This window comes from Homo sapiens, chromosome 8 (assembly GCF_000001405.40).
Source record: "Homo sapiens chromosome 8, GRCh38.p14 Primary Assembly".
NCBI lineage: Eukaryota > Metazoa > Chordata > Mammalia > Primates > Hominidae > Homo > Homo sapiens.
Genome location: NC_000008.11, coordinates 112,586,386 through 112,608,216, shown reverse-complemented (window position 1 = coordinate 112,608,216; position 21,831 = coordinate 112,586,386). Strand labels below are relative to the sequence as shown.

Here is a 21,831-nt window from a genome sequence, read left to right as displayed (position 1 = left end):
TTTTTATGCTATTATACATGGCATTGCTTTCTTAATGTCTTTTTTGAATAGTTCATTGTTAGTATATGGAAACACAACTAATTTTTATATGTTAATGTTATATCCTGCAATTTTACTGAATTAATTTATTAGTTCTACCAGTTTTGTTGGTGGAGTCTTTAGAGTTTTCTATATGTAAGATGACGTCATCTGCAAACAGAGACAATTGCCTTCTTCTTTTATGTTTCGGATGGTTTTGGTTTCTTTTTCTTTCCTAGTTGCTCTGGCTAGAACTTTCAGTGCTATGGTGAATAGAATTAGTGAGAGTGGGCATTCTTGTCTTGTTCCTAATCTTGTTGGGCAAGCTTTTAGCTTTTCAATGTTTGATGTCAGCTGTGGGCTTCTGATATATGACTTTTATTGTGTTTAGGTGCATTCTTTCTATTACCTCATCTTTTGGAAATTTTTATCATGAAAGGATATTGAATTTTGTCAAGTGATTTTTCTGCATCTATTGAGATGATAATTTTGTCATTCATTTTGTTAATGTAATATATCATGTTTATTAGTATCTGTACAGTAAACTGAAACATATTGCATCCCAGGGATAAATCTAACTTGATCATGGCACTGTTGAATTTGGTTTGTTAAAATTTTTTTAGGATTTTTGAATCTATGTTCATCATGGATATTAGCCTGTAAATTTTTTTGGTAGTATCTTGTCTGTCTTTGGTGTCAGGTTAATATTGGCCTTTTAAATGAATCTGGATGTGCTCTCTCCTCTTCAGTTCTTTGGAAGAGTCTGAGAAAGATTGGTGTTAATTATTCTTTAAATGTTAAATAAAATTCTACAATGAAATTATCAGTTTCTGAGCTTTTCTTTGATGGGAGATTTTTAATTAGTGAATCAGACTTCTCACTCATTATTAATCTATTTATATTAATATTTCTTTATAAGTCTTTGTAAGTCATGTTTTTCTTGGAATTTATTCATTTATTCTAGGTTATCTAATTTGTTAGCATGTAATTGTGATGGTAGTCTCTTATGATACGATTCATTTATAATTTTATTTATTTGAGACTCTCTTTTTTCTTTAGTATAGCTGAAGTTTACAAATTTGGCTTATTTTTTCAAAAAACCAACTCTTGGTTTGTTGATCTTTTCTATTGCTTTCCTAGTCTCCATTTCATTTATTTCTGCTCTGATCTTTGTCCTTTTCCTTTCACTAACTTTGAGCTTAGCTTTTTTTTTTTTTTTTTTTTTTCATAGCTTGAGGGGTAAAGTTGGATTGTTTATTTGAGATCTTTCTATTTTCTTCATGCAGCCATTTATCACTGAAAACTTCTCTCTTGGACAATGCTGCATCCCATAAGGTTTTGTATGTTTCCTCCTTCATTTGCTTCAATATATTTTTAAATTTTCCTTTTGATTTCTTCTTTTAACCATTTATTGCTCACAATCATGTTGTTTAATTTCCATATATTTGTGAATTTTCTAGTTTTCCTCCTGTTACCAACTTCTAGTTGTATACCATTAAGTTGAAAAAGGTCCTTGGTATAACTTCAGTCTTCTTGAATTTGTTCGGACTTGTTTTGTGACCTAACGTGATATGTCCTGAAGAATATTCCATGTTCATTTAAGAATAATGTGTACTCTGCTGCTGATGGGTGAAATGCTCTATCTGTTAGGTTTATTTGGTCTATAGGGTAGTTCAAGTACAGTGTTTCTTTGTTGATTATCTGCCTGGATGATCTGGGGTTCTGGAGGCAAAGCATCCCATACATCTCATGGTAGCGTCTCTGATGGAGTCAGTGGAGCTATTAGTAGCTTCTGCAGCCTCCCTTCTCTCTTTCCAGCCTCTCCCAGTTACTGAGCAGTGTCAACCACTTCAGGATTCTAGGTGAAGCAAGATAGAAGTGAGTCTATTAGGCAGTGTTCTGCATGCTGGAGGTGTCAGGCACTCAGTCACTATGCCTTTACTTTCCATGTAGGAGAAATCATGGGCTGTAGGGGCTTCTCTTGGCATCAACCTGTGCCACCCTGGGGTACAGGCGACATAGGTAACCTGATACTGTTCTTCCTTTGATAAGTCAGTTTTTGGATTTTATGATGCCACAGTCTGCTGGAACTTCTTCACTGGACTTCCAGATTTCCACAAAGGTACTTTTGTTTGTAGATACTTGTTTAAGTTGAGGCTGCTTCAGAGGATGATGATAGAAGCTCCTGTTTCACCATCCTGTGCATCTAATTAGCTAGTGTTGCTTTAAGTGTAAGGTACAGAGCCATATCTCTGCTTTAAAGGCCTAAACTTATTAGAATGAAGGGCAGGATTGACAGATTATGCTAGAAATTCTTTGTGATAAATTAATCACAATTAAACATAATATAAATTAATTAAGATTACATTTGTGTAAAATGAGCCGTGAAAACAGGTATTTTTTCCAAGTTTTATTTTAGGTTCAGGGGGTACATGTGCAGGTTTGTTACATGAGTAAATTGCATGTCATGGCTGTTTGGTGTACAGATTATTTTGTTTCCAGGTAACGAGCATAGTACCTAATAGGTAGTTTTTTTTTTTCATCCTTGCCCTACTCCCACCCTCTGCCCTCCCACCCTTCACTTTGTGTTTATTGTTCCCTTCTTTGTTTCCATGTGTACTCAGTGTTTAGCTCCCACTTGTAAGTGAGAACATGTGGTATTTGGCTTTCTGTTCCTGCATTAATTTGCTTAGGATAATGGTCTCCAGGTCTTTCCATGTTGTTGCAGAGAACATGAGTTCATTCCTTTTTATGACTATGTAGTATTCCATAGTGTATATGTATCACATTTTCTTTGTGCAGTCCACTATTGATGGGCATCTAGGTTGATTCCATGTCTTTACTATTTTGAATAGTGCAATGAACATATGTATGCATGTGACTTTATGGTAGAACAATTTATATTTCTTTGAGTAAATACTCAGTAATGGGCTTTCTGGCTCAAATAATGGTTCTATTTTAACTTCTTTGAGAAATATCCAAACTGCTTTCCAAAATGACTGAACTAACTTACATACCCACCAGCAATGTATAAGCATTCCCTTTTCTTTAAAGCATCACCAGCATCCATTATTTTTTGACTTTTATTAATAGCTATTCTGGCTGGTGTCAGATGATATCTCATTGTGGTTTTGATTTGTATTTCTCTAATGAGTCATGAAGTTGAACATTTTTTATATGCTTATTGGCCACATTTATGTCTTCTTTTGAGAAGTGTCTGTTCATGTCCTTTGCCCATATTTTAATAAGGTTGTCTGTTTTTTTGCTTGCTAACAAGGTTCTTAGAGATTCTGGATATTAGACCTTTGTCAGATTCATGGTTTGTGAATATTTTCTCATATTCTGTCGGTTGTCTGTTTACTCAGTTAATACTTTCTTTTGCTGTGCAAAAGCTCTTTAGTTCAATTAGGTCCTCTTTGTTAATTTTTGTATTTCTTGCTATTGCTTTTGGCATCTTCATTATGAAACCTTTGCCAGGAGCTAGGTATTGGCATGTCTTAGGTTTTCTTTCAGAACTTTTATAGCTTTAGGTTTTACATTTAAGGCTTTAATCCATCCCGAGTTGGTTTTTGTATATGATGAAAGGGGAAAGAGTAAAGTTTCAATCTTCTCCATATGCCTAGCCAGTCATCTCAACACTACCTATTTATTGCATAGAGAATCCTTTCCCTTATGCTTGTTTTTGTTGGCTTTGTCAAAGATCAGATCGTTGTAGGTGTATGGTTTCATTTCTGGGTTCTCTAACCTACTCTATTGGTCTGTATTTCTATTTTTATATCAGTACCACGCTGTTTTCATTGTATTGATCTGTGGCTATTCCTATCAAACTATCAATGACATTTTTCACATAATTAGAAAAAAACTACTCTAAAAATTCATATTGATGCAAAAATAAAAAGCCCAAATAGCCAATGACATCCTAAGCAAAAAGAACAAAGCTGGAGGCATCACACTACCTGGCTTCAAACTCTACTGCAAACAGTTCTTAAGGTCTTCTGAACTTTTTGAATATTTACTATGAGTAATGCAGTAAAAATCTCCCTTGCCCCTCTACCTTCCAACTGAAAAAATGTTCATTTAACTGAAAGTTTGCAAATTGCAGTTTGAAAAATGTTAAACAATGTTAGTTTTGGAGAGCATAAGTGGGAATGGATGATGATCTTAAATTGAAAAAAAATTAATATTATTTATTCAATAAAATCTGAATCAATATTCAGTTTAAGTGACTAGATTTACATAATGAAGATTTTATTTCTCATAAATTAACTTCTTACCTGGTTTTATTTGATTTTTGTTTGTTACCAGTGCCTTAACTTACCTAATATATTCCTTACACATTCATCATGCAGTTGACACTTGAACAATACAAGTTTGAACTATTTAGGTTCACTAATATGCAATTTTTTTGGATAAATATATTAGAAAACTTTTTGGAGATTTGTGACAATTTGAAAGAACTCACAGATGAACCATGTAACATAAAAAAAGAGAAAAACTTAGATATGTCATGAATGCATAAAATATATGTATACATCAGTCTATTTTATCATTTACTACCATAAAATGTCCACAAATCTATTATAAAAAATTAACATTTTTTCAAACTTACCCACACAAACACTTACAGACCATACATGGCACAATTTGCAGTGGAGAGGAATGTAAATAAATATAAAGATGCCATATAAAATCACAACTGCACAAAATTAACTACAGTACATACTGTACTAGAGTAATAATTTCTTAGCCACTTCTTTTTGCTATTATGGTGAGCCCAAGTGTTGCAAGTATTGCTTAAAGTACCATGTAGCATCAGTCATCTCCACATCAGCAATTTGTCTCTCCAGTAAACTGCATAGTGCAGTAAAATTTGATTTGTGTAATTTCTCAGATATTTTTTGTTGTTTAATGCAATACAATAAACTGAATAATGCCATGGGAATGAAGTGACACTAGCAATGCTGGAAGTACTTCCAAGAAGCAGAAAAATGTCACTACATTACAAGAAAAAATGTGAATTGGGCCAGATGCAGTGGCTTACGCCTGCAATCCCGACACTTTGAGAGGGCGAGGTGGGTGTATCACCTGAGGCCAGGAGTTCGAGACCAGCCTGGCCAACATGGTAAAAGCCCTTTACTACTAAAAATACAAAAATTAGCCTGCCATGGTGGCATGCTCCTGTAGTCCCAGCTACTTGGGAGGCTGAGGCATGAGCAAAGAGAGTGCCACTGCACTCCAGCCTGTATGACAGAGCAAGACTTTGTCTCTCTCCCCACCCCACTACCCAAAAATGTGAATTGCTTGATATGTACCATAGACTGATGTCTGCAGCTGTGATTGCCTACCATTTCAGACATTTGATTCATCTTGGAAGCCAATAACATAAACTTACAGTATCAATAAATACAGTACTATAAATATATATTTTTTATTATTTTCTTAATAACATTTTTGCTCTAGCTTACTTTATTGTAAGAATATAGTATATAATACATATAACATACTAAATATATATTAATTGACTATGTTATCGGTGATGCTGTGGGCTAACAATAGGCTATTAGGAGTTAAGTTTTGGGGAAGTCAAAAGTTAGACACTAATTTTCTTTTCTTTCTTTTTTTTTTTTTTTTTGAGACAGAGTTTTGCTCTTGTTGCCCAGGCTGGAGTGCAATGGCACTATCTTGGCTCACGGCAACCTCCGCCTCCTGGGTTTAAATGACTCTCCTGCCTCAGCCTCCTGAATAGCTGGGATTACAGGCACCCGCCACCACACCCAGCTAATTTTTGTGTTTTTAGTAGAGACAGGGTTTCACTATGCTGGCCAGGCTGGTCTCGGACTCCTGACCTCAGGTGGTCCACCCTCCTTGCCCTGCCAAAGTGCTGGGGTTACAGGCGACAAATTTTCAAATGCATAGAGAGTCAATCCCCTAACCCTTTATTTGTTCAAGTGCTGATTATGTTATAAACTTTTCTTTAAATGTGCTGAAAAAAATCTTTTAAAAGTTTTGTTTGCTATAACATTGGATCATTGAATTAGATATTGGGGGTCTCCCAATAACATAAAAATCATCCTAATATTTAAGAATGTTTGGCTTATTTGCTTCCTTATCATTTCATTAAAAATTGTTAGACAGTGACCACTCTAAAGTAATAGAAGAAAATGCACAGGAAGCTATCTGCTCCCATCGGCTTCTCTTTTTCCTCTGCCCTGCTAGAGAACTTTATTAACGTTATGCTTAACCTGAAACTTGTATTTCAATCTATAAATAGAAAAATTGTTTTTAACATCCCTAATACCTATGGTTTAGGATTAAGTATAATTTTAAGTATTTAATTAACTCATCGTAGAGAGCATATTTCCATGGTGCCAAGGCAGTTATGAAATTAGAAGGGACACTATATAAAAATATTAATTGAACTAAGTAAAACTAAAAGTTACTCCTGCCTTTCCCTTTTTCCCCAATACCAGGAAAATTAATATGTTTAAATTGAATTGCCTTCTTTCCCCTGAATCTGTCTTTTCTTTTCTCAGCCAATCACAATCCCACTTTGAATTCTTCAAAGTGCAACCAAAATGCTACCTTCTTGATGAAGCATTCTCTGACTTTTTCATCAGAAGCAATATCTATCTCCTTAAACCTGTGCAGATTATCTCTTACTTTCTTGCACCTTTTGCTTTGTAGTATAGTAATTTATAGAAATTCCTATAGTCCTTGAGAAAGTGAAGTTCCTTGATTGTATGTTTGTATCTTATTCGCCTCTGAGTGGAAATATCATGAAGGGGTTGAGTGTCTTGGGCCTGGAGACAGAACTATCTGTGCTTAAAGTTCACCCATTATGTGATCTTGGGCACCTTATTCCACCACTCACATTTTTAAATTTATCCTCCAAAACACAGGGTTACTTCACCGGGAAGTGCATTTAAAGAATTAGAATAGTAAGCACTTCACAACTACTACTAGCTATTGCTATTGCTCATATCACCTTCAGATAAGGTGTGCATATAGTATGCAGAGAAATTAATCTATTAGATTAAAAAATCTATACTAGATAAAATATCTATTAGATAAAAGAAGTATATTTTGTTCTTGTTTTCAGCAATTACTGCTTCTCACACTTCCAAGAATAATGAATCTCTCTTTTTCTTAGTATTCCTACCTCCTTGTTATTGAATTAGCAGTATTTATTGGGTTTTCACAGGGTCTAGAGAAGTATATAAGGATCGTGGGGACCGGGCGCGGTGGCTCACGCCTGTAATCTCAGCACTTTGGGAGGCCAAGGAGGATGGATCACGAGATCGAGACCATCCTGGCTAACACGGTGAAACCCCGTCTCTACTAAAAATACATAAAATTAGCTGGGCGTAGTGGCGGGCGCCTGTAGTCCCAGCTACTCAGCAGGCTGAGGCAGGAGAATGGCGTGAACTTGGGAGGTGGAGCTTGCAGTGAGCCGAGATCGCACTCCAGCATGGGTGACAGAGGGAGACTCCGTCTCAAAAAAAAAGAAAAGAAAAGAAAAAAAAATCATGAGATATAAGAAATATTATGACATGTTTCCTTACTCTCAGGATACTTAACACTACAATTTGGTTTGACCGTTTGACTAAAAGACATGAAAACAAAACTGTTGCATAAAGGATTGCCTTCTCTTTGCATCACAAAAATGTATAAAATGTATTTTAAGGAGGAAGGAATATTTATATAGAAACATTTTTGACATAGCCATATTTATTATAATACCATTCTTATCGGTTGCGTTAAATGAGGTAGTCAAAGGTCTACTCTCTAAAGGTCTTGTCGTTATAAATCAATAATACTCTTGGCCCAATATGCAGTATTCAAAAAATAATGAAAACAAAGCAATCTATTTTGAGCACAATGTTCATATTTTTTCAGTGAATTTTAAATAAAGAGCCATTTATTTGAAAACTACTGTAGAATTTCTTGTCATTTTTGGTAGCATTTTTTATTATATATATCGTGTTCTATAGTAGTAATTATAGTGTACATGGAATTTAAATCCATGTCTTGAGTTATTATATTTAAAAATCACATAGATTTTTTTCAAGTGACTTCTTAGCCTAGTTTTAAGTTATTCGATTTTTGGGTGTTCTGACTCAGAGATAGCATTTTAAAACCCCAGTCACCCTCCACCTCTGTACTATTCCTTTTTTTTATATATATACTTTAAGTTTTAGGGTACATGTGCACATTGTGCAGGTTAGTTACATGTGTATACATGTGCCATGCTGGTGCGCTGCACCCACTAACTCGTCATCTAGCATTAGGTATATCTCCCAATGCTATCCCTCCCCCCTCCCCCCACCCCACCACAGTCCCCAGAGTGTGATATTCCCCTTCCTGTGTCCATGTGATCTCATTGTTCAATTCCCACCTATGAGTGAGAATATACGGTGTTTGGTTTTTTCTTCTTGCGATAGTTTACTGAGAATGATGATTTCCAATTTCATCCATGTCCCTACAAAGGACATGAACTCATCATTTTTTATGGCTGCATAGTATTCCATGGTGTATATGTGCCACATTTTCTTAATCCAGTTTATCACTGTTGGACATTTGGGTTGGTTCCAAGTCTTTGCTATTGTGAATAATGCCGCAATAAACATACGTGTGCATGTGTCTTTATAGCAGCATGATTTATAGTCCTTTGTGTGTATACCCAGTAATGGGATGGCTGGGTCAAATGGTATTTCTAGTTCTAGATCCCTGAGGAATCGCCACACTGACTTCCACAATGGTTGAACTAGTTTACAGTCCCACCAACAGTGTAAAAGTGTTCCTATTTCTCCACATCCTCTCCAGCACCTGTTGTTTCCTGACTTTTTAATGATTGCCATTCTAACTGGTGTGAGATGGTATCTCATTGTGGTTTTGATTTGCATTTCTCTGATGGCCAGTGGTGATGAGCATTTTTTCATGTGTTTTTTGGCTGCATAAATGTCTTCTTTTGAGAAGTGTCTGTTCATGTCCTTCGCCCACTTTTTGATGGGGTTGTTTTTTTTTTCTTTTAAATTTGTTTGAGTTCATTGTAGATTCTGGATATTAGCCCTTTGTCAGATGAGTAGGTTGCGAAAATTTTCTCCCATGTTGTAGGTTGCCTGTTCACTCTGATGGTAGTTTCTTTTGCTGTGCAGAAGCTCTTTAGTTTAATTAGATCCCATTTGTCAATTTTGTCTTTTGTTGCCATTGCTTTTGGTGTTTTGGACATGAAGTCCTTGCCCATGCCTATGTCCTGAATGGTACTGCCTAGGTTTTCTTCTAGGGTTTTTATGGTTTTAGGTCTAACGTTTAAGTCTTTAATCCATCTTGAATTGATTTTTGTATAAGGTGTAAGGAGGGGATCCTATTTCAGCTTTCTACATATGGCTAGCCAGTTTTCCCAGCACCATTTATTAAATAGGGAATCCTTTCCCCATTTCTTGTTTTTCTCAGGTTTGTCAAAGATCAGATAGTTGTAGATATGCGGCATTATTTCTGAGGGCTCTGTTCTGTTCCATTGATCTATATCTCTGTTTTGGTACCAGTACCATGCTGTTTTGGTTACTGTAGCCTTGTAGTATAGTTTGAAGTCAGGTAGTGTGATGCCTCCAGCTTTGTTCTTTTGGCTTAGGATTGCCTTGGCGATGTGGGCTCTTTTTTGGTTCCATATGAACTTTAAAGTAGTTTTTTCCAATTCTGTGAAGAAAGTCATTGGTAGCTTTATGGGGATGGCATTGAATCTGTAAATTACCTTGGGCAGTATGGCCATTTTCACAATATTGATTCTTCCTATCCATGAGCATGGAATGTTCTTCCATTTGTTTGTATCCTCTTTTATTTCTTCGAGAAGTGGTTTGTAGTTCTCCTTGAAGAGGTCCTTCCCATCCCTTGTAAGTTGGATTCCTAGGTATTTTATTCTCTTTGAAGCAATTGTGAATGGGAGTTCACTCATGATTTGGCTCTCTGTTTGTCTGTTGTTGGTGTATAAGAATGCTTGTGATTTTTGTACATTGTTTTTGTATCCTGAGACTTTGCTGAAGTTGCTTATCAGCTTAAGGAGATTTTGGGCTGAGACAATGGGGTTTTCTAGATATACAATCATGTCATCTGCAAACAGGGACAATTTGACTTCCTGTTTTCCTAATTGAATACCCTTTATTTCCTTCTCCTGCCTAATTGCCCTGGCCAGAACTTCCAACACTATGTTGAATAGGAGTGGTGAGAGAGGACATCCCTGTCTTGTGCCAGTTTTCAAAGGGAATGCTTCCAGTTTTTGCCCATTCAGTATGATATTGGCTGTGGGTTTGTCATAGATAGCTCTTATTATTTTGAAATACGTCCCATCAATACCTAATTTATTGAGAGTTTTTAGCATGAAGGGTTGTTGAATTTTGTCAAAGGCTTTTTCTGCATCTATTGAGATAATCATGTGGTTTTTGTCTTTGGCTCTGTTTATATGCTGGATTACACTTATTGATTTGCGTATATTGAACCAGCCTTGCATCCCAGGGATGAAGCCCACTTGATCATGGTGGATAAGCTTTTCGATGTGCTACTGGATTCGGTTTGCCAGTATTTTATTGAGGATTTTTGCATCAATGTTCATCAAGGATATTGGTCTAAAATTCTCTTTTTTGGTTGTGTCTCTGCCTGGCTTTGGTATCAGAATGATGCTGGCCTCATAAAATGAGTTAGGGAGGATTCCCTCTTTTTCTATTGATTGGAATAGTTTCAGAAGGAATGGTACCAGTTCCTCCTTGTACCTCTGGTAGAATTCGGCTGTGAATCCATCTGGTCCTGGACTCTTTTTGGTTGGTAAACTATTGATTATTGCCACAATTTCAGCTCCTGTTATTGGTCTATTCAGAGATTCAACTTCTTCCTGGTTTAGTCTTGGGAGGGTGTATATGTTGAGGAATTTATCCATTTCTTCTAGATTTTCTAGTTTATTTGCATAGAGGTGTTTGTAGTATTCTCTGATGGTAGTTTGTATTTCTGTGGGATTGGTGGTGATATCCCCTTTATCATTTTTTATTGTGTCTATTTGACTCTTCTCTCTTTTCTTCTTTATTAGTCTTGCTAGCGGTCTATCAATTTTGTTGATCCTTTCAAAAAACCAGCTCCTGGATTCATTAATTTTTTGAAGACTTTTTTGTGTCTCTATTTCCTTCAGTTGTGCTCTGATTTTAGTTATTTCTTGCTTTCTGCTAGCTTTTGAATGTGTTTGCTCTTGCTTTTCTAGTTCTTTTAATTGTGATGTTAGGGTGTCAATTTTGGATCTTTCCTGCTTTCTCTTGTGGGCATTTAGTGCTATAAATTTCCCTCTACACACTGCTTTGAATGCGTCCCAGAGATTCTGGTATATTGTGTCTTTGTTCTCGTTGGTTTCAAAGAACATCTTTATTTCTGCCTTCATTTCATTATGTATCCAGTAGTCATTCAGGAGCAGGTTGTTCAGTTTCCATCTAGTTGAGCGGTTTTGAGTGAGATTCTTAATCCTGAGTTCTAGTTTGATTGCACTGTGGTCTGAGAGATAGTTTGTTATAATCTCTTTTCTTTTACATTTGCTGAGGAGAGCTTTACTTCCAAGTATGTGGTCAATTTTGGAATAGGTGTGGTGTGGTGCTGAAAAAAATGTGTATTCTGTTGATTTGGGGTGGAGAGTTCTGTAGATGTCTATTAGGTCCGCTTGGTGCAGAGCTGAGTTCAATTCCTGGGTATCTTAGTTAACTTTCTGTCTCGTTGATCTGTCTAATGTTGACAGTGGGGTGTTAAAGTCTCCCATTATTAATGTGTGGGAGTCTAAGTCTCTTTGTAGGTCACTCAGGACTTGCTTTATGAATCTGGGTGCTCCTGTATTGGGTGCATATATATTTTGGATAGTTAGCTCTTCTTGTTGAACTGATCCCTTTACCATTATGTAATGGCCTTCTTTGTCTCTTTTGATCTTTGTTGGTTTAAAGTCTGTTTTATCAGAGACTAGGATTGCAACCCCTGCCTTTTTTTGTTTTCCAATTGCTTGGTAGATCTTCCTCCATCCTTTTATTTTGAGCCTATGTGTGTCTCTGCACGTGAGATGGGTTTCCTGAATACAGCACATTGATGGGTCTTGACTCTTTATCCAATTTGCCAGTCTGTGTCTTTTAATTGGAGCATTTAGTCCATTTACATTTAAAGTTAATATTGTTATGTGTGAATTTGATCCTGTCATTATGATGTTAGCTGGTGATTTTGCTCGTTAGTTGATGCAGTTTCTTCCTAGTCTTGATGGTCTTTACATTTTGGCATGATTTTGCAGCGGCTGGTACCGGTTGTTCCTTTCCATGTTTAGCGCTTCCTTCAGGAGCTCTTTTAGGGCAGGCCTGGTGGTGACAAAATCGGTCAGCATTTGCTTGTCTGTAAAGTATTTTATTTCTCCTTCACTTATGAAGCTTAGTTTGGCTGGATATGAAATTCTGGGTTGAAAATTCTTGTCTTTAAGAATGTTGAATATTGGCCCCCACTCTCTTCTGGCTTGTAGGGTTTCTGCCGAGAGATCCGCTGTTAGTCTGATGGGCTTCCCTTTGAGGGTAACCCGACCTTTCTCTCTGGCTGCCCTTAACATTTTTTCCTTCATTTCAACTTTGGTGAATCTGACAATTATGTGTCTTGGAGTTGCTCTTCTCGAGGAGTATCTTTATGGCGTTCTCTGTATTTCCTGAATCTGAACGTTGGCCTGCCTTGCTAGATTGGGGAAGTTCTCCTGGATAATATCCTGCAGAGTGTTTTCCAACTTGGTTCCATTCTCCCCATCACTTTCAGGTACACCAATCAGACGTAGATTTGGTCTTTTCACATAGTCCCATATTTCTTGGAGGCTTTGCTCATTTCTTGTTATTCTTTTTTCTCTAAACTTCCCTTCTCGCTTCATTTCATTCGTTTCATCTTCCATTGCTGATACCCTTTCTTCCAGTTGATCGCATCGACTCCTGAGGCTTCTGCATTCTTCACGTAGTTCTCGAGCCTTGGTTTTCAGCTCCATCAGCTCCTTTAAGCACTTCTCTGTATTGGTTATTCTAGTTATACATTCTTCTAAATTTTTTTCAAAGTTTTCAACTTCTTTGCCTTTGGTTTGAATGTCCTCCCGTAGCTCAGAGTAATTTGATCATCTGAAGCCTTCTTCTCTCAGCTCGTCAAAGTCATTCTCCATTCAGCTTTGTTCCATTGCTGGTGAGGAACTGCGTTCCTTTGGAGGAGGAGAGGCGCTCTGCGTTTTAGAGTTTCCAGTTTTTCTGTTCTGTTTTTTCCCCATCTTTGTGGTTTTATCTACTTTTGGTCTTTGATGATGGTGATGTACAGATGGGTTTTTGGTGTGGATGTCCTTTCTGTTTGTTAGTTTTCTTTCTAACAGACAGGACCCTCAGCTGCAGGTCTGTTGGAGTACCCTGCCGTGTGAGGTGTCAGTGTGCCCCTACTGGGGGGTGCCTCCCAGTTAGGCTGCTCGGGGGGTCAGGGGTTAGGGACCCACTTGAGGAGGCAGTCTGCCCGTTCTCAGATCTCCAGCTGCGTGCTGGGAGAACCACTACTCTCTTCAAAGCTGTCAGACGGGGACATTTAAGTCTGCAGAGGTTACTGCTGTCTTTTTGTTTGTGCCCTGCCCCCAGAGGTGGAGCCTACAGAGGCAGGCAGGCCTCCTTGAGCTGTGGTGGGCTACACCCAGTTCGAGCTTCCAGGCTGCTTTGTTTACCTAAGCAAGCCTGGGCAATGGCGGGCGCCCCTCCCCCAGCCTGGCTGCCGCCTTGCAGTTTGATCTCAGACTGCTGTGCTAGCAATCAGCGAGACTCTGTGGGCGTAGGACCCTCCGAGCCGGGTGCGGGATATAATCTCGTGGTGCGCCGTTTTTTAAGCCGGTCCGAAAAGCGCAATATTCGAGTGGGAGTGACCCGATTTTCCAGGTGCGTCCATCGCCCCTTTCTTTGACTCGGAAAGGGAACTCCCTGACCCCTTGGGCTTCCCAAGTGAGGCAATGCCTCGCCCTGCTTCGGCTCGCACACGGTGCGTGCACCCACTGACCTGTGCCCACTGTCTGGCACTCCCTAGTGAGATGAACCCGGTACCTCAGATGGAAATGCAGAAATCACCCGTGTTCTGCGTCGCTCACACTGGGAGCTGTAGACCGGAGCTGTTCCTATTCGGCCATCTTGGCTCCTCCCCTGTACTATTCCTTTCACTTAAAATATAAATGTACTGAAATGTTTTTAATTCAAAACTAACCAAAAAACAAAACAAAACCAAAGACAAAAACATCAAAAAACAAAAAGACCCTTCCTTCAAACCTGTATCACCCCTGACCCTTTACAGACAATATTATAGTTCCTTTCTTCCCAAACTCTTAATTGCCCAAATCAATGTACTCTCAGTATTCATTTTAATTGAACTCTGATTTAACACTGATGACAATTATTTTCTTAAAACTATCTTCTCTTTACTATTCCATGATACTACCTTCTTTGAATGTCCCTTTTGTCTACCTGTTAAATTCTCTTGCTGAGTGTACCTTGGTCTTATTTTGCTTCTCTTCTCAATATGTGTACATATATATGTGTGTATTCTCTGGATAAACCTTTTTGTCTGTGGCTTTAAAAGATCAATCTCATGGGTACAAATATGTCTAGCTGCTTGGAGTACTTTACTTGACGTCCAACAGGCATACCAAATTTATCTTGTGCAAAAATACATTCATCAGCATTATAATCAAAGCCACTCATTGTCTTCTCTACCTTTTCCTCTCTTTCATGCCCCCACATCGAACTTGTCTCCAAGTTCTAACTTTTACTTTGGCATCTCCTCTTCCTCCATTGCTTTAGTTGAAGCTCTCATCTTCTGTCTGTAGCACTACAACAATCTTCTCTAGGGTTTTCATCCTCTAGTAACCCAAGACTACAATTCATTCCTCATAGAGCTGCCCTAATGGATTTCTCAAAGTTGGTCATGTTTTTCTCTTTTTAAAACTCTTCTATGAATCTCCATTGCCTACAAGATAAAGTTCAAATGTCTTAGAATGGCGTATGAATCACTGGTTCTTCTAACTAGTATCAATTTGGTTTACCTATTTATACTTTCATTCAAGTATTTCACTCTGCCTGGAATCCCTTCTTTGTACAATTTGATTACGTTTGGAACCACATTTCTTTCTCAAATCAAGAAAAACACAGTCATGAAGTCTGCCTTAATGTAATTCTCTTGTGGCTTCTTTAAAATATACTACTTCTTCATTTGTGCCATCTCAGCCTATTACATGAACTTGTATCATACTAGAGACTACATGTTAGTGCATGTACCAGTTTCCATGTCTGCCTCTTTTTTGGAGTACATATCACATGAGGAAGAGGACCTATCCCCAAGACCTAATACGGTATCAGGCATATCCATAGTTATTTTTATTAAGAACATTATTTTTAATAAATAACTGAGCACAGTAGACCTTCAGTAGCTGTTCATGGAAAGAAGAAAAAATGAAAAGACAATGTCAGATTATGGGAAATAGTCAATATTTTTGACAGAAAATGATATAATTGATTTTAAAAAGTTTTGAATTTAAGCGTTTCAATTATGACTGCAATTCACACACAAAAATATAATTCCACATGGTAATAAAGATTACCCTAATTCTGTATGGTAAAAAATGATTATAGAAAATGCATTAAAAACAAATGTTTAAGGGGAAAAAGTAGCTATGAAACTTTTTTGAAATTCTTCAAAAAATGTTTAAACTCTTTTTTTAAAATAACTTTCAGTAGCACTAGTTTGCCCTTGGATACATACATGTATTGTATTTAGAGAGGCTAAAAGGAGAAAGCCAGTTAAGTACTATTATTGCCTAAGAAGAACAAAAGAAAGAAAAAATAAGACTGTATGCAAGTAATACCAATGGATTCTCATATTCTCAGTAGGGGCATAAGGAAATTAATGTATCTTTCTACCCTACAATTTCTACCCACTTCTGAAAATCCAAGTATTATTGAAATGCCTATTTAAGAAAATAAAATATTTTTGACTAAAAATTTCTGAAGAACAAAGTGTTATTAATACTGCCAAGTTGAGAAGGCATCTTAGGAGAAGTGCTAAAAAAAACACACACAAATTAATCTTATTAACACATTTTACCATATTTCACAATTTTTAGATGCCCCATTTTAAAAAACTAACAGCTGTGAAATATGTGTGTATCTCACAATCAATGACTATTATAGTGTATTGGCAACATTTTTGCTTTTTTAGGGACACATAAAGATGCCTTTTATAATCAATGGTGTCCTAACTTAATGAAATGAAATCTAAATTATATTTGGAACATAATGGGCTAAAATAGCTGATAAAAATGAAAAAAAATCTGAATTCACATGCAGAAAAGAAATGATTGATTTGGATTTGATCCTCCTATGATCCTCTATGAGCAAAATCATGTATTATTATTTTTCTTCTGGTAATAATTAAACATATGGAAAAATATATTTCTGCTTAATGCTACTCCTTATTTGACTTGCATACCATATGTTTATGTTTAAAAACATTCTAAGTTTTTTGAACAATCTAAATCAAGTATATTTTGCCTGCTTTCACAAAACAGTTTAAAAATAAAAAGACTCAGTTGTAATGCACATTTTTAAAAAAGTAACTATGAAGTTTACTGATCTAGACATTTTTCAGATATCCAGTCAAATTGCTGAAAAGCATTTTTTCAGTTTATCTAAAACTATATGACTGTATGTGTACAATAGATGCTACCAGATTTTCTTATCCCAGTAATGGAGATTAATGATGCATGTCTTGTCTGTTTTTGGGTATCCCTGCTCTAGTGAATTCTTCACTGTATCAGTGACTCTTATCATCAAATTTCAGTACACATTTCTTTCCCACTTCAATCCAACTAAAGCCACATTTATCATCATATTATTTTCATATTCAGCAAAGAGTTTCATATTGGTAACTCGAATAGATATCTTAATCTGTACATTTAAATAAAAAAATATTTTATATGAATAGGACTTGTTTTTCAGAAAAGTCATCATATACAATGTGTACACTGGAAATTGCACAGAAAATATTTATATGCTAAAAAGAGCACTAAGTACTTATTCTCCAAACATTTTCCTAACACTGCTAAATTATGTAATGTTTTCATATTATTAATTTTTATGATTTAAAGATGACACCACCCCCTAGTTCAAATTAGAGAGAGGAAACATTACTACCTATTAATAGCTTTACATTTATTATTTTGTAGGAAATCCTTATTATCAAACATAGGCTTTATCAGTTAGTAGCATCAGTTATCAAGAACTTAAAACTCACTCTGGATCAAGACATGAGAGAAACAAGATCCTGGGCTTATGTTAAGGTAGGAAGAAGTGTGCTTACCTCACCTCCAGAAAACATTGCAACCCCTAAACCCTGAAGCAGTGGTTTTCTGACCCAAAATCTCAAAAAATTTTATAAATGTACCTCATTCAGTCTCCTCTTTTCCTCTTCAAATTCTGCAACCAACATTCCAAGCCTTAAAGACAAAAGTATTTCCCCATCACAAGAACAAGCAGCTCACACCTAATGACTTCTCCATTCATACACACCTAAGAAAGAACATTTCTTCTGCTATCACACCAGATAAACATCCTCGGAGATCTACCTCTAGATCAACCTTGCACAAAGAAAGCTTTTTCATATCAGGTCTTTCAGTTCCTAGAACCTGTCATTATCTCCTTTGTCTCCCACCCCCTCCAATAATGTTTTTAGATATAATGTTCCTTCTGTTTGGAATATTCTTTTACCCCACTTGTCTTCTCCCTTCACCTTTAATTTACTCATCCATTTTCAAGTTGCAGTACTTCAGAGAGTCTTTCCTGGCTATTCAGGACAGGTCAGGGCTCTCAGTTATATGCTTTCACATACTATATTTTTATTTGAGTGATTGTATGATAGACATCCATCCTTTCCACTGGAAAGTAGGTCCCATAGGAGCTTCAACTATTCCCCTCACCACCCAGTACATAATAAATATTTCATAATTATCTATGGAATCAACCTATAAATTTATTTTTTCCAAATCAGAGCATTCTATCATTTGCCTCTAGCCACTTCAAATATCTTACAGTACATTCTCAACCAAGCAAATAAATTGTTTGTATTACAGTGACCTTGTAGCTTTTTTATTGTAACATATTTTTCACATGCATGTTTTATTTTACATATGCTATTCCTTATAGCACCTGACTGAAAACCTTAACATTGACATAATCTTCTGAGTCATACATTTGTTACTGTTCAGTGATAGCGGTATACTCTCCATAAATGTCACTATGGCTGACAGATAACTTTTTCAACTCGCCTTTACCGGTTGGATCGTTAGGACTTGCTTTACTCAAACTCCTTTCTCATGTAGTTGACGTTTTCATATATGCCCTTGTCTTCCTTGTATCAACTAACCATGCTTCTCTCTTGTGGTTAGCTGTTCTGCTGCTAGTTCCTTTTCTCAATTTTAACATATCTTAAGAATATTCAGTCACAGTTTGCCAACACTTATCTTCTCAGTTTAAATAAGCTTTATGAAAACTTGCTGTGCTAATCATGTTATATATAATGAAAATCTTGAAGTTATGATATTTTTGCTGGGCATTCATAAGCATGGAACCATGACTATTATTCGTGAGAATTATCCGTAATATTTTAATGGGTTGTTGCTTTTTTCAATTTAATATACCATCACAGCCACCGGATACTGAAAAGAACCATAATAATTTAATTTCATATCAAGTAATTTTCCTTATGGGTGGTAATTTTCTTTATTCACATCTCTTGGGACCAGAGGTGGTGTTCATATGCGGAGAAAATAGCACATTCAAAGGCTCAGATTGTGAGACTGTGGCCAAGGGCCAGTAGTAGCTCAGGGCAGCTAAATTGCAAGGTCCATGGCAGAGAAGGGTAGGTAATAGCTGGACAGGCACACTGGGATCGCATTGTAAATGGCCTTGTATGACATTCTCTGGATTTTGACTTGCTGATCATCAGTGTATTTTAACCAGAAAGTGCAAGATTAGACGTGCAATTGAAAAATATTGTGTCAGTTTATTACAGAGAAGAACTAAAACCATTTGTATTTTCAAAACTTCATGTCTCTGTAAAATAATTCAAAATAATTTGCATTCTCTTCTAAATAATCTAATTGACAAAAATATATGTGCATTTTAGATCACCTGTGTAATCCAGATTACATTTGTCTTCATGCCTCCACAAACATACCTGTATTCCAAAAACCTAGTAGAAAAAAATAAAGGAGAATTAAAATGTAAATGATTTCCACTAAGTGATGGACGCCTGGCATTATGTTGCACTATATGGATGAAAGTTTCTCAGCAGTTCACAGAGGCATAGTATGAATGAGAATCAAGTTGTTACACAGCATAGAGTAATTAAAGGTATAACAAACTTCAAAAGCCTACACTGGAGCAGCTGTTACCTGATCCACATTGCCAAAGGCGATTTAATTTTAGGAAAACAAAATCTTATGCCTTATTAGATACATGTTGCTATTTTTTATTTTATTGTTTTTGTCATTTTGTTCCTGTATTTGTAAACTGGTTTTGGTATTATAATTGTACGCAGCTAAAAGCATAAGGACATATCTATTTTTTGAACATGCTTAAGTAACATTAAAATAAAGTAATTTAAATCAATATTGGAACTTTGATTTTTTTTTTTCTTTAAAAGGAATTTAGGGGTAACTTTTATTGTGTAATACTGGCTATTAGTACCATAACATTAGTTTTTATTATTATTTCACACAATGTTGATATTATACTGAGTGCTTCTTTTTGATCATTTTTATTTCATTAGGCTTTTGTTTCCTTTGCCTTATTTTTGTTAATGTTTAAGCATTTAAAAGGTAAAGCAATTCATTATTCACCTTGTTGTCTTTCTCTGACTGTTCCCATAAATCATTATTTTTAAAATCTTATTTCTAGAAAATAACAACTTGTTTTTTTTTTCCTTTTCAGTTAAATATTTGAAAATGTAAATATTTCTGCCCTATGGTTTGGTAATATGAAGTAATTTATTAGATAAGATAGAAAACTTAGTTTATTGAATTTCTGAAACATATTTAAGAATTTGAAGGACTTATTGTTTTCTTTTGCAATATTGCCACAAGCTTTTTATATTTAAATACATTAAAATTAAGTTCGAACTAAATTTGTTGAGAAATTCTCACATTTTCCTAAATGTTTAGACAGTTCCTCAAATTTTGCAAAATTAGTCCTGAAGGTTTAGCAGTACCATTTTATCTATTATAAGAATGCCTTAATCTAGTCTAATTTTCTATACTGAGAAAGGTGATATAATTTCTAAAGATCCCTAATTTGTTACAATTATTGTTTAATTGTTATTACCAGGGGGGTTTAACTATTATATCAGTTTTCAAAGATAATGTAATATTTGATTCCCTTTTTATTATTGAAATTCTTGTGTCAGCGGAATACTGAGTATTAGGAGAAAAAAGAAGGGTCAAATTAATTAAAAAGGTAAAAATGTTTTAAAAGATGAAGTTAGAATTATTCAAAACCCTTTCATTTAAAAGAGCTAAATTATAAATTTAAATGTATTACATTTATCAGAAATCACAAATGTAAAATACATTCTTAAGTTCATGCTCTCACCCTTTCCTATGCTATCCTTTAATCCAGGGGGAAAATTACTACAACTATTGTATATTTTCATTTGTACACAGTGTCCTCTCCATGGGCTGTAGTCTCTTCCACCCATATGTTATTTGAGGAGGGAATTAATCATTTACAACATAAAGCCATTCTGTATATTATTTTTCTACTAGGCTTTAGGTAAAATAAAATGCATAACACTTCCATACATGATATTGCTTGAAAATGATACTGCTATCTATTAAACTGTACTTCAATATTCTGTTTTACCTGCAGCTGAATGTGGTGCATCTGCAACGAATAATGAAGGAATTTTGCTGTCTCCAAATTATCCACTCAACTATGAAAACAACCATGAATGCATTTATAGTATTCAGGTTCAAGCAGGAAAGGGAATCAATATTTCAGCCAGAACATTTCATTTAGCACAAGGAGATGTTCTTAAGGTAGGTGAACTCAGACATACTTGTATATTGTTCATTTTTAGTCATTAAATATACATCAATAGATAAATATATACATCTATATATATATGTGTATGTATATAGTATTAACCGTAAGTTGATTCTACCATTCACACATTCAAATTATACATTAATTCTCATTTTCTATTATTGTTTTCATTGAAATAGTATGTTTTGTTTCCAATTTTTTTATAATAAAAGGTAAATTTTTGTTTTATGATACATAAATTTTAATGTCTTAATAATACCAAAATAAGAAAACTTTAATGTCAAATATCTTGTCTAATAAATTATTATATATAAAACATCATCAAATGACCGTCATGTAATGTGATAGTCATTTCTTTAAGAAATATAATAGTGACTTGTTTCTATTTGTATTCTATTGTCTATAATGTAACTTATTTATTTTTGTTAATACGTGAAGAATCTTTTGCATTTATGACTATGGATACATTTTATGAATATATAAACCTAACAAGTCAATGTCTATCAATTAAGAAAAAATATACTTTGTTGATAATGACTATCGGTGTAAACATTATTTATTTAAACACTTTGAAATAATCAAATATCTACTTTTCTAAAAAGATAACATTTTGGCAAATAAATATTTTCATAGTTGCTGATTTATATTTTGAATATAAATATTTTGGTAAATA

At 35.4% G+C, this 21,831-nt stretch overlaps 1 protein-coding gene across 9 annotated transcripts in view, besides 1 other annotated feature; it reads left to right on the top strand.

Moving 5' to 3' along the window:
- The window catches only part of CSMD3 (CUB and Sushi multiple domains 3), a 1,214,012-nt gene that overhangs the window by 828,723 nt on the left and 363,458 nt on the right, over positions 1 to 21,831 (top strand). For all 9 annotated transcript variants that reach the window (NM_001363185.1, XM_017013010.2, NM_052900.3 and 6 more), the window contains one exon: positions 20,982 to 21,151. In NM_001363185.1, the coding sequence (NP_001350114.1) occupies positions 20,982 to 21,151 (170 nt within the window). The remainder of the gene's footprint in view (positions 1 to 20,981; positions 21,152 to 21,831) is intronic.
- Positions 13,320 to 13,907: an enhancer, noted in NCBI's record as "H3K27ac-H3K4me1 hESC enhancer chr8:113606539-113607126 (GRCh37/hg19 assembly coordinates)". NCBI's record gives its function as "activates a minimal SCP1, AML or CMV promoter by ChIP-STARR-seq in naive H9 embryonic stem cells {active_cell/tissue: H9 hESC(naive)}" and the evidence as "EXISTENCE:reporter gene assay evidence [ECO:0000049][PMID:30033119]".